The 16568-nt window shown below is 48.5% G+C and overlaps 2 annotated features.

Moving 5' to 3' along the window:
• Positions 2124-2418: an enhancer, noted in NCBI's record as "tiled region #10402; HepG2 Activating DNase matched - State 5:Enh". NCBI's record gives its function as "activates a minimal TATA promoter and a strong SV40 promoter by Sharpr-MPRA in HepG2 cells {active_cell/tissue: HepG2}" and the evidence as "EXISTENCE:reporter gene assay evidence [ECO:0000049][PMID:27701403]".
• Positions 4864-5158: a silencer, noted in NCBI's record as "tiled region #14031; K562 Repressive non-DNase unmatched - State 23:Low". NCBI's record gives its function as "represses a minimal TATA promoter and a strong SV40 promoter by Sharpr-MPRA in K562 cells {active_cell/tissue: K562}" and the evidence as "EXISTENCE:reporter gene assay evidence [ECO:0000049][PMID:27701403]".

The following is a 16568-nucleotide window of genomic DNA, read 5'->3' as shown; positions in this document are numbered from 1 at the left end:
AGGTTCGATGAGCCGAGATCAGACCACTGCACTCCAGCCTGGGCAACAGAGCGAGACTCCGTCTCAAGAAAAAAAAAAAAAAAAAGAATAGCACACATGGAAAAGTGCACAAAACATAAATGTAAAACCTAATGATTTATCAAAAAGTGAGCCTGGGTTAGCATCACCCATGCCATGGTACTGAACAGTCAAGCAGAAGACCTCTGCAGGGTAATTGGTGTTCCAACTACTTTTGTGATAATCGCTTCCTTGCTTTTGGAGTTGTACCACCTGAGAATGTGTCCCTAAACACTGTAGTTTCGTTTTGTCTGTTCCTTGAACTTTATGTAAATTGAATTATACAGTATTATTTTGTGTCTGCCTTCTTTTGCACAAGAATACACTTGCAAAACTCCTTTATGTTGTTTCATATAGCTGTGGTGAGTTCATTTTCATTGCTGTTTTTTTGTTTTCCACTGTATGTTTATCTACTCTATTGTTAAGGGATATAAGTGAAGCCTCCCACCTGCCATACCTCTCAATTTCTTTTCTAAAAATTATTTTTATTTTTATTTATTTTTTTAGACAGAGTCTCGCTCTGTCGCCCAGGCTGGAGTGCAGTAGCGCGATCTCAGCTTGCTGCAACCTCTGCCTCCTGGGTTCAAGTGATTCTTCTGCCTCAGCCTCCCAAGTAGCTGGGATTACAGGCACCCGCCACAACACCTGGCTAATTTTTGTATTTTCAGTAGAGACAGGGTTTCTGCATGTTGGCCAGGCTGGTCTCGAACTCCTGACCTCAAGTGATCTGCCCGCCTCGGCCTCCCAAAGTGCTGGGATTACAGGCATCAGCCACCGTGCCTGGCTTTATTTATTTGTTTATTGAGTCTGGCTCTGTCACATGGGCTGGAGTGCCATGGCACAATATCAGCTCACTGCAGCCTCCGCCTCCCAAGTTCCAGCAATTCTCCTGCCTCAGCCTCCCAGGTAGCTGGGATTACAGGCACACGCCACCACGCCTGGCTAATTTTTGTATTTTTAGTAGAGACAGGGTTTCACCGTGTTGGCCAGGATGATCTTGAACTCCTGACCTCAGGCGATCCACCTGCCTCTGCCTCCCAAAGTGCTAAGATTATAGGTGTGAGCCACCATGCCCAGTCTCTCTCTCTCTCTCTTTTTTTTTTTAACTAGAGATGGGGTCAGTATGTTGCCAAGACTATCTCTAACTTCTGGGCTGAAGCAATTCTCCCACCTCAGCTTCCTAAAGTGCTAGGATTACAGGTGTGAGCCACTGTGCTTGGCCATACCTGTTAATTTTCAAAGTGGCCTTCTGATCCTCCAGCCTTGCTTCTCTTCTAGTTCATAATCCACCAAGGAGCCACGGGGATCTGGCCATATAGCAAATCTCATCAAGTCACTCTGGGCTTAAAGCTCTTGAATGTCTCCCCATTGACTACGGGACAAAATCCCAAACCCTTAATTTGGCCTACAAAACCAGAATTATAATGAGCTACCATGGCAGAATATTTACTATGCACAACGTCAAGCACTTTACACACATTCATTTTATTCATGATCTGGACCTTCAAACCATCTCTTCTTGATCCAGTCCCAGCTACCATGAACTACTTCATAATTTCCCTAAATGTGCCAGGTTCTTTCATGACCCTGATCCTTTGTGTTTTTGTTTATTTCTTTCTTTGTTTTGTTCGTTTTTGAGCCAGAGTCTCCATTTGTATCCAGGCTCACTGTAGCCTTGACCTCCTAGGCTCAAGTGATCCTCTTACCTCAGCCCCCTAAGTAGCTGGGACTGCAGGAGCACACCACCACCACACCTGGCTCATTAAATTTTTTTTTTTTTTGTAGAGACAAGATCTCACTATGTTGCCCAGGCTGGTCTCAAACTCCTAGCCTCAAGGAATATTCCTGCTTCAGCCTCCCAAAGTGTTGGGATTTCAGGCATGAGCCACCGTGTCCAGCTCCTGAGTCTCTGCATATGCTGTTTGCCCTTACTCTTCTTCCCCTCTTGACCTAATTCAGCCTTCGAGTCTTAGCCTAGATGTCGCCTCCACCAGGCAGCCTTCCCTGAACTTCCTTCTACCCCGGCTAGGACAGGTTCCCTCTCTTGTACTACCACAATGGTCTAAGCTCATAATGTTTGTCAATTTTCCTCATCCACTAGGCTGTGCGCTGCTTAAGGGTGGGGCCTGGGGCTTATTCACCCTTGTAACCCCATGCTCAGTACTGTGCCTGACCCTCTGTAAATATTTGATGACCATGAACAGACCACTCTGGGTTGAAGTCTAGGTGGCTTTTTCAGGTAGCCCGTTTATTTATTTATTTTTTGAGACAGGATCTCCCTCTGTCGCACAGGCTGGAATGCAGTGGTGTGATCTTGGCTCACTGTAACCTCTGCCTCCAGGATTCAAGCGATTCTCCTGCCTCAGCCTCCGGAGTAGCTGTGACTAAAGGCACACATCACCAGGCCCAGCTAATTTTTGTGTTTTTAGTAGAGATGGGGGTTTCACCGTGTTGACCAGGCTGGCCTCGAACTCCTGACCTCAAGCAATCTGCCTGCCTCGGCCTCCCAAAGTGGTGGGATTACAGGCGTGAGGCACTGTGCCTGGCCAGGTATCCCCGTTTCTATTCCAGGCTCTGGTTTCTGTGGTGGGAACACCAAGGCAGCACCCTGTGGGCTGCCTGCTGTGGCCGAGTCTCTGTCAGTAGCCTGGAGTCTTTTATTCCCAATATAGGGATGAGCAGTTGAGCAAAGATCCTAAGGCTTTCCATTTCTCCAGCTACTTTTCTGAACTAAGAAGCCTGGGTAGACAATAGGTCTGGGCTGAGAGAGGTGGTTGGAATAAGCTGGGCTCCTCTCCCTGGCACCAGGGCCGGCTGCATAGATTTAGAAAGGCCCATGCTTACTGGGTGTGGAGGCTCATGCCTGTAATCCCAGCACTTTGGGATGCCAAAGTGGGAGGATTGCTTGTGGCCAAAAGTTCAAGACCAGCATGTGCAACATAGAACCCCATCTCTACATAAAATAATAATAGTAATAATTAGCTGGGCATAGTAGGTGCTCCTGCAGTCCTAGCTACTTGGGAGGCTGACGCAGGGGGTGATTGCTTGAGTCCAGGAGTTCGAGGCTGTAGTGAGCCATGATTGCACCACTGCACTCTAGACCCTGTCTCAAAAAATAAAAACAAGATGAAAATAAAAATAATAATAAAAAAGAAAAGTCTGTGTTTGGTTTAATGTTCTACTGTCACCATCTTAAAAATCTTAATAATTTTGGAACAAAAGTCCCACGTTTTCATTTTGCCCTGAGCCCTGAATATTGTTTTTTGAGACAGCGTCTTGCTCTGTCACCCAGGCTGGAGTGCAGTGGTGCAATCTCGGCTCGCTGCAACCTCCCCCTCCCAGGTTCAAGCAATTCTCTTGCCTCAGCCTCCCCAGTAGCTGGGACTACAGGCACGTGCCACTGGGTCCAGGTAATTTTTAGATTTTTAGTAGAGATGGGGTTTCACCATGTTGGCAAGTCTGGTCTCACACTCCCAACCTCAGGTGATCCACCCACCTTGGCACCCCAAAGTGATGGGATTACAGGCGTGACCCATCATGTCCGGCCCTAGCCCTGAAAATTATGTCACCACTCCTGGCTGGTCACTAGCTGCCAGGGCCTCTGAGGACCCCTGCCTCAACTCCGGACAAAGCCAAGCCTCCACACTAAAGCAGAAACATAAACAACCAGCTCAGGTTGCCACATAGCTTAACCCCCTTGTTCTCTGCCACTGCAGCAAGAAGCTGCTGAGAGGGAACTTTCATCCCCTGAGGTCCTGGCAGCTGGGGAAGGGAGACTCTAGCTGGATCCCACTCCAGGTTGCCCCCGCCTAGGCTGGGCTTGAGCTGGCCATGGACCCTACACTGCAGTTTAAATTATGCAAAGGGAGTTTCCAAGGCAAGTGGGTCTGGCCCCCGGAAAGCTGTGGAAAGGAGGCTTCCACCCCAAACTGTGGTTCCCACAGGGAGTGGCTCTTGGGCCATTCTGGGACCAGATGAGAGAAGCCATTTAGGCCAAGAATAGATGAGAGGAATGGGGGCGTCTCCCTTGGTCTTCCTGGCCTTGGAAGCGTCTGATGTGGTGTACTATTCCCTCCATTTCTTCCCTTGGCCTGTCCTAGAGTCTTGAGAATAAGCGATAAGTAAGACGGACAGACGGTTTGTCTTAGGGAGCCCACAGAGCAGTGTGGGAGGCAGACATATACATGAACCCTCTGCCACAGGGAGATGAGGGCTCTGGAGGGATGGCAGGGGCTGGGGGTGGTGGGCACACAAAGGAGAAAGCTTCAGAGGAGATGACAATGAACAGATTCTTATTGGAAAAATAGATTTTCCAGGTAGGCAAGGAAAAGGGGAGGGCACAGCGTGTGCCAAGGCCTGGAGGTATAGAAAGGGAGGGTGTGTTTGGAGAGCTGGTCAACCTGAGCACAGCCAGGGAGCAAGGGAGGTGCAGGTCCTACCAGGACCCTGGAGTCCAAATTCAGTCCTTGCTCTGGGTTAGTGCTCAGCATCCCAGGCGGCGTTTGGTCATATCAAGATAGGGGTGGGCCACCTGTGGTGGTCCCCTCCACTCTCCCACCCATTCCCTGTGATGCGCTTTTTTTTTTTAAGACAGTCTTGCTCTATCGCCAGGCTGGAGTTCAGTGGCGCGATCTCGGCTCACTACAACCTCCAACTCCCTGGTTCAAGCGATTCTCCTACCTCAGCCTCCTGAGTAGCTGGAATTACAGGCACATGCCACCATGCCCAGCTAATTTTTGTATGTTTAGTAGAGATGGGGTTTCATCATGTTGGCAAGGACAGTATCAATGTCCAGACATCATGATCCGCCTGCCTCGGCCTTCTAAAGTGCTGAGATTACAGGCGTGAGCCACCGTGCCCGGCCGTGATGCTCATTTTTGCACTTCAGTCAGAGTGGCCAAGAGCCAGGATGTTTACTCCCATATGAGCTGAGTCTGCAGAATTCCAGACTTCTTCAAAAAAGAAACAAGAGCGACAGCTGGTAGCTTCCTGAAAGTCTGAGATCACAGAAAACTGACTTAGAAAGGAGAGAAAGGAGGACACCCCACCCAGCCTGGGTCCCAGCTGGGTTCCCAGGACACATCTAACCCAGAGATCTCAACCCGAGCTAGGAAAATGTTTTTAACAGCTTTATTAGGGTATAATTTACAGACTACAAGACTCACTTGTTTTCAGTATACAATTCTATCACGCCTGTGATCCCAGCACTTTGGGAAGCCACGGCAGGCGGATCGCCTGAGGTCAGGAGTTCAAGACCAGCCTGACCAACATGGCGAAATGCCATCTCTACTAAAAATACAAAATTAGCCAGGCTCAGTGGTGTATGCCTGTAATCCCAGCTACTTGGGAGGCTGAGGCAGGAGAATCCCTTGAACCTGAGAGGCGGAGGTTGCAGTGAGCTGAGGTCACGCATTGCACTCTAGCCTGGGCAACAACGGCAAAACTCAGTCTCAAAAAAAAAAAAATACAAAAATTAGCTCGGCGTGGTGGTGGGCGCCTGTAATCCCAGATACTTGGGAGGCTGAGGCAGGAGAATCGTTGAACCAGGGAGGTGGAGGTTGCAGTGAGCTGAGATCATGCCACTGCACTCCAACCTGGGAGAGATTCCGTCTCAAAAATAAATAAATAAATAAATACATATACAATTCTGGCCGGGCACAGTGGCTTACACCTATAATCTCAGCACTTTGGGAGGCTGAGGCAGGAGGACTGCTTGAGCCCAGGAGCTAGAGACCAACCCAGACAAGACCTTGTCTCTACTAAAAATAATAATAATAAGTAAATGAATAGGCCGGGCACGGTAGCTCACGCCTGTAATCCCAGCACTTTGGGAGGCTGAGGAGGGTGGAGGTGAGGAGTTCGAGACCAGCCTGGCCAACGTGGTGAAACCCTGTCTCTACTAAAAATACAAAAATTAGCCAGGTGTGGTGGTAGGCACCTGTAATCCCAGCTACTGGGGAGGCTGAGACAGGAGAATCGCTTGAACTCAGGAGGCGGAGGTTGCAGTGAGCCGAGATTGCACCATTGCACTTCAGCCTGGGGGAAGGAGAGAGACTCTGTCTCAAAAATGAATGAATAAATAAATAAATAAATAAAATTTGTTTTAAGTAAATGTATAGAGTTATACAATTGTCAACACAGTTCTGTTTTAGAACATTTCCATTACCCTAAAAGATTTCTTGGGCTTGTTTGCAGTCAGTTCCTGTTCCCACCATCAGCCCCCAGCAACCACTGGCCTGCTTTCTGTCCCTATAGAGCTGCCTTTTCTGAACATTTCATATAAATAGAATCACACAGATGTAGTCTTTTGCAGCTTGCATCTTTCACTTTGCATTATGTTTTTGAGCTTCATCCATTTTGAAGCATATATCAGTAGTTGATTCTTTTTTTATTGCTGAATAGTGTTGCATTATACAGATATACCATATTTTATTTGTTTACCAATTGATAGTTGAATTGTTTCCACCTTTTGGCTATTACGAATAACACTACTATCAACATTCATGTACAAATGCATTCATTTTCCTTTTCTGTGGGTAGACCCTTAGGAGCGAAATTGCTGTATGGTAAATTTGTGTTCAACTTTTTTTTTTTTTTGAGATGGAGTCCTGCTCTGTCGCCCAGGCTGGAGTGCAGTGGTGCGATCTTGGCTCACTGCAACCTCTGTCTCCTGGGTTCAAGCAATTCTCCTGCCTCAGCCTCCTGAGTAGCTGGAATTACAGGTGCCCACGACCATACCCAGCTAATGTTTTTATTTTTGGTAGAGTTGGGGTTTCACCATGTTGGCCAGGCTAGTCTCGAACTCCTCCTGACCTCAGGTGATTCGCCCACCATGGCCTCCCAAAGTGTTGGGATTACAGGCGTGAGCCTGCTGGAAGGTGAGGTAGAAGGGGCCTGGGGGTGGGTTAGGTCAAGGAGTCCCGATTTCTGCTCAGCCCACTGAGATCCTGTGGGGGCACCTCCCATGACCTTAGGCGTCTCTCAGGCCTCTGGGGAGATTAGGAAAGTATGACATTCTTGGCTGCAGACCAGCTCCAGATAACCCCGGCTAAATGCAAGGAAATGGGTGGTACCAGCAGAAAGCATAGAGCTTAGAGGCTCAGCCGGGGATTAGATCAGGGCTACAGAGTGCACCATAAAAGCTGCTCCTTCTGAAGGGTCTAGGGATGATAATAACACCCCATCTTGAATTCAACAAACATCTTTTTTTTTTTTTTCCTGAGATGGAGTTTCGCTCTCTTGCCCAGGCGGGAGTGCAGTGGTGTGATCTCAGCTCACTGCAACCTCTGCCTCCCAGGTTCAAGTGATTCTTCTGCCTCAGCCTTCCAAGTAGCTGGGACTACAGGTGTGTGCCACCACGCCCGGCTAATTTTTGTATTTTTAGTAGAGACGGAGTTTCACCATTTTGGCCAGGCTGGTCTCGAACTCCTGACCTCGTGATCTGTCTGCCTCGACCTCCCAAAGTGCTGAGATTACAGGCATGAGCCACCGTGCCCGGCCATCTTGAATTCAACAAACATCTATTGAGCATTTTCTGTGTGCCAGACCCTGTGCTGGGCACTGGACATATGGCCATGAATAAGAGTGGCAGGCTCCTGTCCCCGCCCTGGGGAGCTTGCAGTCTACTGGAAGAAACAGGCAATAAAGAATTAAACAAACAGAATGACAGGTAATGACACAGAGGGGGCCTCTTCTGTGGGGGTGACATTTGAGTAGGGATCTGAGTAACTCTGCATGGGTATGTGTGTGGGATGATGTGTCTGGTGGAGAAAAGAATTAAGGAAAGTCTGAGGCTGAAGGCACTTGGTGTGTTCCCAACAGTGGTAGAAGATGGGCTTGGAGAGGAAGGTAGGCAGGAGCTAGTTCACCTGCAGTGTTTCCAGAGGTCGTGGCCAGAGTCTGGGTTTTATTTTGTGTGTGATGGGGAGGATGTTGAGCAGGATAGAAAAATTCTATGATTCCCATTTTTAAAAATATCACTTAGATTGATGTAGAGAGGCTAGACCTACAGGAGAAATGGTGAGACAGGGAGATAAGGCAGGTTGTCCCGGTAACCAATGAAAATGGCTTGAAGTGGTGTTGGTGCTGATAGAGAGAATTGTATAGATGTGGGGCATCTTTTTTTTTTTTCGAGGCAGAGTCTCGCTCTGTTGCCCAGGCGGGAATGCAGTGGCGCAATCACAGCTCACTGCAGCCTTGACCTCCTGGACTCAAGCGATCTTCCCACCTCAGCCTCCCAAGTAGTTGGGACTATTGGCGCATGCTACCACACCTGGCTAATTATTTTTTGTAGAGACAAAGTCTCACTATGTTGCTCAGGCTGGTCTTGAACCCCTGGGCTCAAGTGATCCTCCCACCTCAGCCTCCCAAAGTGCTTTGATTACAGGCATAAGGTGAGGCGTCTTTTGGAGTTAGAGACACCGGGATTTGCTGATGTGGGGTATAACAAAAAAAGGAAGTCAAGGATGACTCCTATATTTTTGACTTGAGCACTGCATAAAGCTGGTGCCATGACCTGTGATGGGGAAGCTTGGAAAAGGAGCAGGATTTGGTACTTGCTAGGGTTGGGGGGGAGCTAAAATATGGATCTAGCTGGGTGGAAGAGAGGAAGAAGGCCAGAGGGCGGTGACATCCTCATGATTCCTGGCTAGGGGTTGGCAATCTTGTTAGACCAAAGCCTGGGTTATGCGGGGGACTCCTGCAGTATTAGGACACCTGGAAAAATTCGAGTTGCATTATGTTGACCACTTCTTGCAACATTTCAGCAAGCCCTGCAGAAAAGGGACAAGCTTAGGCTGAAGATGGTGGCCTATCCTTATTATCAAAGGAAAAAATCCCTTCCTTTGGGGCCCCCTCCCTTCACTTACTTTGAAATGTTGTGACTGGCTTATGAAATCCAAACATCTAGACAGAGCTGCTATGGATCCTCCACCTCTTCCTCAAAACAAGTAGAGGCTGGAAAGCCCACGTGGAGTATAAGGAAAGCACAGACGGTTAGGAGGCTTAGAGGACCACAGAAAGAGGTCCCCATGAGTCAGAGTCAGCTAGCAGACTGACAGAGGCATAGAAACTGGGAAGAAGGGTGGGATATGAAGAAGAAAAGAAAAGGGAAGTCAGAGAGAGAGTGAGCTGCCCAAGGCTGACATCCGAGCCCTGATGGAGAGGCACCAGGTGTGGGGATACAATGCCCTAGGACCGAGGACCCAGGGAAAGCAACACCTCATAAGGAACCTTAGAATCCTTGAGTTTCTAATCTGGAGGTGACTTCAGACACCAAGTGGCCTGTTCTTCACACAGAAAATGGACTGGCCTTCAAGGAGGAAATGGGAAAGAAAGAAGAAAACAACAGATCTCCCAGCTTTAGAAATCACGGAAAGTCAGTCCACAGCTTTGGCCTGGCTGAACTCAGCAAGCCCCAGCCCTTTTAGATTCCTTTTACCCATTTGGTAAATGTCCAGCCCTCACGCGGACTGTTTTGTCCAGTTGCATTCTGGAAACAGATGATCATTTCGCCTGTCTGGAGAGATGTAATCGGGGTCTTCCTGGCCTGAGATTTGTCCTCCTCAGATAATCCTCCTCTCATTCCAGCTGGGTCCCCTGTCACATGTCCCCAGGTGCACCCATGCTGACCAACACAGGCGCATGAGCTGCAGTGCTCATATGCTCAGGCAGAGTGAGGAGAAGGGGGTCACTCCCTGAGGGGTAGCTGGGGTGGGCGTTGGGGGTGGGGACTGGGCAGGAGAGGAGATGGGCTGACGCAGCTTCTCCAAGCCATGCAGAGATCCAAAGAAAACACAGCTGGAGGCACAGCGAGGGAGGAGGGGGCCAGAGCAGTGCATGTTGACATGTTGGGCAGCAATCCAGCTTGGCCTCCTGTGGTCAGTGGAGCCCGTGTTTACTTCCTTGGACCAGTTATTTCCTCGTACTGAACCTCAGTTTCCAAATCTGCAAAACAGGGCCAATAATAGCTATCTCAAGGCACTGCTGTGAGAGTTACATGGGATAATGAAAAAGAGAGAGACAGAGAGAGAAACCTAGTTACAAGCATAGGCTCTGGGGCCAGACTGACTTGAGCTTATAACTGCTGGGCCTCAGTTTCCTTATCTGTAAACTGGGGGTGAGGATACCTATCTTGTAGGATGTTATGAAGTGTAAGTGAGTTAATATGTGGAAGCACTTTCTGGCCAAGTGTGGTGGTTCACGCGTGTAATCCCAACACTTAGGGAGGCCGAGGCAGGCAGATCGCTTGAGGCCAGGAGTTTGAGATCAGCTTGGTCTACACAGTGAGATTCTATCTCTACAAAAAAATTTTAAAAGTTAGCTGAGCATGGTGGTACATGCCTATAGTTCCAGCTACTCGGGAGGCTGAGATGGGAGGATTACCTGAGCCCAGGGAGGATGAGGCTGCAGTGAGCCATGATCGTGCCACTGCCTTCCAGCCTGGGTAACAGAGTGAGACCCTGTCTCAAAAAAGCACTTTCTGTTTGTTAAGCAACTATGACAACTATTAATACTAATAATCAGGCCAGGCACAGTGACTCATGCCTGTAATCCCAGAACTTTGAAAGGCCAAGGCGAGAGGATCGCTCGAGCCCAGGAATTCTAGACCAGCCTGGGCAACAAAGTGAGAGCGCCCCACCCCGCCACCAAGTACTAGGTTCCACACTTTGTATACTTTATCACTTTAAATCCTCACTGCCACCCAGGGAGGTAGGTAAGTACTAGATCATCCCATTTTACAGATGTGGAAACTGAGGTTCAAAAAGTGTTTTTTTTTTTTAGAGACAGGATCTTGCTGTGTCACCCAGACTGGAGTTCAGTGGCACAATCATAGCTCACTACAGCCTCGAGCTCCTGGGCTTAAGCAATCCTCCTGCCTCAGCCTCCCAAAGTACTGAGATTATAGGCATGAGCCACCATGCCTAGCCCAGAAAGAGATTTTTCATTTCCTCTGGAACAGGGGTTGGTAAACTATGGCCTGTGTGCTAACTCCAGCTCCCAGCCTGTTCGTTAGATATTGTTTATGGCTGCTTTCATGCTAAAGTGTAGGGCTGAGCAGCTGCGATAGAGACCACAGGGTGTGGAAAGCCTAAAATATGTACACTTTGGCCTTTTCAGGAACAGCTTGCTGACATTTGTTCTAGAAAAAGGCAGAAGCAGGACTTTGCTATCCTGATTCCTTTACAGGAACAGCTTGCTGACATCTGTTCTAGAAAAAGGCAGAAGCAGGACTTTGCTATCTTGATTTCTTACCAGTATTGCTGTGCTGGGTACACAACTGAGGCTGGAAAGGCACTTCCTTCCTGTCCCTCTGAGTGCTGGGAAGCCTCTCCTTCTCTCTTCAAAGCCAGGGATGAGGCCGGGCGCAGTGGCTCATGCCTGTAATCCCAGCACTTTCAGAGGCCGAGGTGGGAGGATTCCTTGAGGCCAGGAGATGGAGACCAGCCTGAGTAACACAGTGAGACCTCATCTCTACAAAAAAAAAAAATTACAAACATTAATCAGCCGTGGTGGTGCATGCCTATAGTCCCAGCTACTCAGGAGGCTGAGGTGGGAGGATTGCTTGAGCCCAGGAGGTCAAGACTGCAGTGAGCCAAGATTGTGCCTCCGCACTCCAGCTTAATAGGCAGAGCCAGACTCTGCCTCAAAAGACAAACAACAACAAAACCAGGAGTGAAAGTGGGAAGGGATTTGGGGATTTGGCTCTCTCCATGTCTCAAGCCCGGTGATGAGCACTCGAGGAGGCTGCCAGAGCCCATCCCACGCTGCACATCTGCTGACATCACTCTTAACGTTTGAGGGTTGTGTGCACCATATGTTTTAGAGGAAAAGGGAAATCAATGTATTAAAGAGGGACAGGCTGAGTGGGGAAGGCCCTGGATTCAGGGCCAGTGACTGCACCTTCTCCTCCACCAGCCCAGGTCAAGGCTGTATTTATTTATTTATTTAGAGACAGAGTTTCACTCTTGTTGCCCAGGCTGGAGTGCAATGGTGCGATCTCAGCTCACTGCAACCTCCACCTCCTGGGTTCAAGCGATTCTCCTGCCTCAGCCTCCCAAGTAGCTGGGATTATAGGCACCTGCTTCCACACCCGGCTAATTTTGTAATTTTAGTAGAGATGGGGTTTCACTGTTTTGGTCAAGCTGGTCTGGAACTCCTGAACTCAGGTGATCCACCTGCCTCAGCCTCCCAAAGTGCTGGGATTACAGGCATGAACCACTGTACCCGGCCGGTCAGAGCTGTGTTTAGGGTCAATTGAACTGAGGCTAACATGGTACAGGAGGAGATAAAGGATCTGGGTTGGCATAGGGATCGCCTGCTGCCCAGGGACATTCAAGGACTCCAAACCAGTTCAATCACTCAGTAAATATTTAGTCAGTACCTACTGTGTGCCAGGCATGGTTCTAGGCACTAAGGACACAGTGTTGAACAAAATTCCAGCTCTCACGGGGACAGACAACAAACAAGAAAGAAAATATTCAATAGTAATAAAATCTATAAAGAAAATAAACCAGGCTGATATGATTGAGAGCGATTAATAGATAGGCAGGCAGGGAAGGCCTCTCTGAAAAAACGCCATTTAAACTGAGACAAAATGCTGGGCGTGGTGGCTCGAGCCTGTAATCCCAGCACTTTGGGAGGCTGAGGCGGACAGATCACTTGAGGTCAGGAGTTCGAGACCAGCCTGGCCAACATGTGAAACCCCATCACTACTAAAAATACAAAATTAGCTGGGCGTGGTGGTGCACGCCTGTAATCCCAGCTACTCAGAAGACTGAAGTAGGAGAATTGCTTGTACTCTGGAGGTAGAGTTTACAGTGAGCCGAGATCATACCACTGCACTCCAGCCTGGGTGACAGAGCGAAGCTCCGTCTCAAAAAATAAATAAATAAAATAAGCTGAGACAAAATGACAAGGAAGATCAGGTGGAAAAGCATTCCAGGTAGAGGGAACAGCAAATGCAAAGGCTCTGAGCAAGAAGAACTTGCACATTCAAGGAACAGAAAAACCAGTTTGGCTGGAGCCGAATGCAAAGGGCAAGAGAGGTGAGAGGTGAGACAGAGAGAGTAGGCCCTATCACATGCCAGGGAATCAGGGTACTGAGGCAGGAGTCTATTCCAGTATGGTGAAAAGCCACTGATGGCTGATCATGCTAATGATTGTAGGTAACATTTTTTGAGCCCTTAGGAAATGCCAAGTACTTATTAAACCCTTTCAATGCATTAACTCATTTAATCCTCACAAGCAATCCTAAGAGGGAGGTACCTGGATCATCCTCATCTTACAGATGAGGAAACTGAGATCCAGAGGGGTTAGGCCACTGGCCAGTGAATTGCATGGGACAAGACCATTTAAGAGATAAAAATGATACAAAGATGAAGCCTGGATTCATCTGGGTACACAACTGAGGCTAGAAAAGCATTTCTTTCCCATCCCTTTGATTGCTGGGAAGCCTCTCCTTCAGTCTTCAAAGCCAGGAAGAGTGAGGCCAGGCACAGTGGCTTACGCCTGTAATACCAGTATTTTGGGAAGCCAAGATCGGAGGATCTTTTGAGGCCAAGAGATTGAGACCAGCAAGGGCAATATAGCGAGAAATATTTCACCTAAGAAAATGAGAGCAAGGCTGGGCACACTGGCTCACGCCTGTAATCCCAGCACTTTGGTAGCTCAGGAGTTCGAGACCAGCCTGGCCAACGTGGTGAAACCCCATCTCTACTAAAAATACAAAATTAGTCAGCTGTGGTGGTGTGTGCCTGTAATCCTAGCTACTCTGGAGGCTGAGGCGGGAGAATCGCTTAGAACCCGGGAGGTGGAGGTTGCAGTGAGCCGAGACAGCACCACTGCACTCCAGCCTGGGTGACAGAGTAAGACTCTGTCTCAAAAAAAAAAAAAAAAAAGAAAAAAAGAAAAAGAAAACGAGAGGAAAGGCCAGATGTGGTGTAACACCAGCACTTCGGGAGGCTGAGGTGGGTAGATCTCTTGAGCTCAGGAGTTCAAGACCAGCCTGGGCAACATGGTGAAACCTCATCTCTGTGAAAAATACAAAAATTAGCTGGGTATGGTGGCACATACCTGTAGTCTCAGCTACTCAGGAGGCTGAGGTGGGAGGATCACCTGAGCCTGGGGAGGTTGAGGCTGCAGTGAGCCGTAACTGCACCACTGCACAGCAGTCTGGGCAACAGAATGAGACCCTCTCTCAAAAAAGAGGGAAAAAAAGAAAGAAAAGAAGAGAAAACAGCCAGGTATGGTGGTGCACACCTGTAGTCCCAGCTACTTGGGGGGCTGAGGTGGGAGGATTGCTTGAGCCCGAGAGTTGGAGATCAGCCTGAGCACATGGTGAGACCCTATCTTAAATAAATAAAATGTATTTTGTTGTTGTTGTTAAAAAAAAATAAAAAAGGGCCAGGTGCACTGGCTCATGCCTGTAATCCCAGCACTTCGGGAGGCCAAGGCGGGCGGATCACCTGAGGTCAGAAGTTCGAGACCAACCTGGCCAACACGGTGAAACCCTGTCTCTAAAAATACAAAAATTAGCTGGGCATGGTGGCAGGCGCCTCTAGTCCCAGCTACTCGGGAGGCTGAGGCAAGAGAATCACTTGAACCTGGGAGGTGGAGGTTGCAGTGAGCCGAGATCGTGCCACTGCACTCCAGCCTGGGTGACAGAGCGAGACTCCACCCCACAAAAAAAAAAAAAGAAAAGAAAGGAAATAAGAGGAAAGAAAACTAACATCCACCAGGTTTTCTGCTTGAGCCAGGCTCTAGGAAGGTTACTAGAGTTCAAAGGAACACAGATACTTCCTCCTCTGGATACTCTTAACACTTTCTCTGTTCTCCCTCTACACCTTTTCTGCTTTGTTTGCTCGTGGTATGTGCCCCTAATTAAGATAGCTAGCATTTATTTGGCACTAATGATGTGTCATGTACCAGGCCCATTTATTCTTGCAATAACCTTAAATTATTGTTTCCATTTTAGGATGAGGAAATTGAAGATCTGAGTGCTTAAGCAAGGGATCAATGTCATACACCTAAGAACTGACAACCTGGGGTGTAAACTCTTGTCTGTCAGACACAAGAGTCTAAGTACATAACTACCGGGCTATAAAGCCCACCTTCCACTCTTCCATGAACAGTCTACGGATTCCCTAATAGCAGCCACAGAATTGCTTCAACCTCTACTTCCTGTTAAAGAGGGTTCATAATAGTGCCAGTCTGACAGGTTGTTAAGGTTAAATAAATTACCTAGAATTCGGATGACCAGTTGTAAGGTTTCCCAGGGACTGAGTGGGTTCCCAGGAATGGTTTCAAAATGGGGATGGCTGGATGTGTGGCTCACGCCTGTAATCCCAGCACTTTGGGAGCCCAAGGCAAGAGGATCACTTGGGTCCAGGAGTTCAAGATCAGCCTGGGCAACATGGTGAGACCTGTCTCTACAAAAAATACAAAACTTAGCTGGACATGACATGGTACCACCTGCCTGTAGTCCTAGCTACTCAGGAGGCTGAGGTGGGAAGATCGCTTGAGCCCAAGAGGTGGAGGCTTCAGTGAGCCGTGATTGTACCACTGCACTCCAGCCTGGGCAACAGAGCAAGACCCTGTCTCTAAAAATATAAATAGGCGGCCGGGCGCGGTGGCTCACGCCTGTAATCCCAGCACTTTGGGAGGCCAAGGCAGGTGGATTGCCTGAGGTCAGGCGTTCGAAACCAGCCTGGCCAACATAGCGAAACCATATCTCTACTAAAAATACAAAAAATTAGCTGAGCGTAGTGGTGGGTGCCTGTAATCCCAGCTACTTGGGAGGCTGAGGTAGGAGAATTGCTTGAACCTGGTAGGCGGAGGTTGCAGTGAGCCGAGATTGCGCCATTGCACTCCAGCCTGGGCAACAAGAGAGAAACTCCATCTTAAATAAATAAATAAAAATAAATAAATAGGCTGGGCATGGTGGGTCACACCTGTAATCCCAGCACTTTGGGAGGCTAAGGCAGGCGGATCACTTGAGGGCAGGAGTTCAAGACCAGCCTGGCCAAAATGGCAAAACCCTGTCTCCACTAAAAATACAAAAATTAGCCAGGTGTGGTGGCACATGGCTGTAGTCCCAGCTACTTGGGAGGCTGAGGCAGGAGAATCACTTGAACCCAGGAGGCAGAGGTTGCAGTGAGCCAAGATCACACCACCGCACTGCAGCCTGGTGACAGAGCACGACTGTGTCTCAAAAAAATTAATTAATTAATTAAATAAAAAAGGAAATGGAACTATTTTTGTGAATCTGTGGATTATATCAGAAAAAAAAGACACAATGGGGAAAGTCCTAGGCAAATCAGGATGAGTTAGTCATCCTTCCTAGATGAGTGTTTGGTGCTAAATACATGCTCAGCAGACATGATTATTGCTTCCCCTTTCTTTCGTCCATTTGGCAACAAAAAGGTGGCAAGCACCCACTCTGTGCCCTGTCCTAGGGTCCGGGAACCCTGTAAGCAGTAGATGGAGGTGGGGGTGGGGGTGGGGGCGGGGAT

The sequence above is a fragment of the Homo sapiens genome, chromosome 20 (genome assembly GCF_000001405.40).
Source record: "Homo sapiens chromosome 20, GRCh38.p14 Primary Assembly".
NCBI lineage: Eukaryota > Metazoa > Chordata > Mammalia > Primates > Hominidae > Homo > Homo sapiens.
The sequence above is the reverse complement of the archived record's forward strand: the minus strand, read 5'-3'. Positions and strand labels throughout refer to the sequence as shown.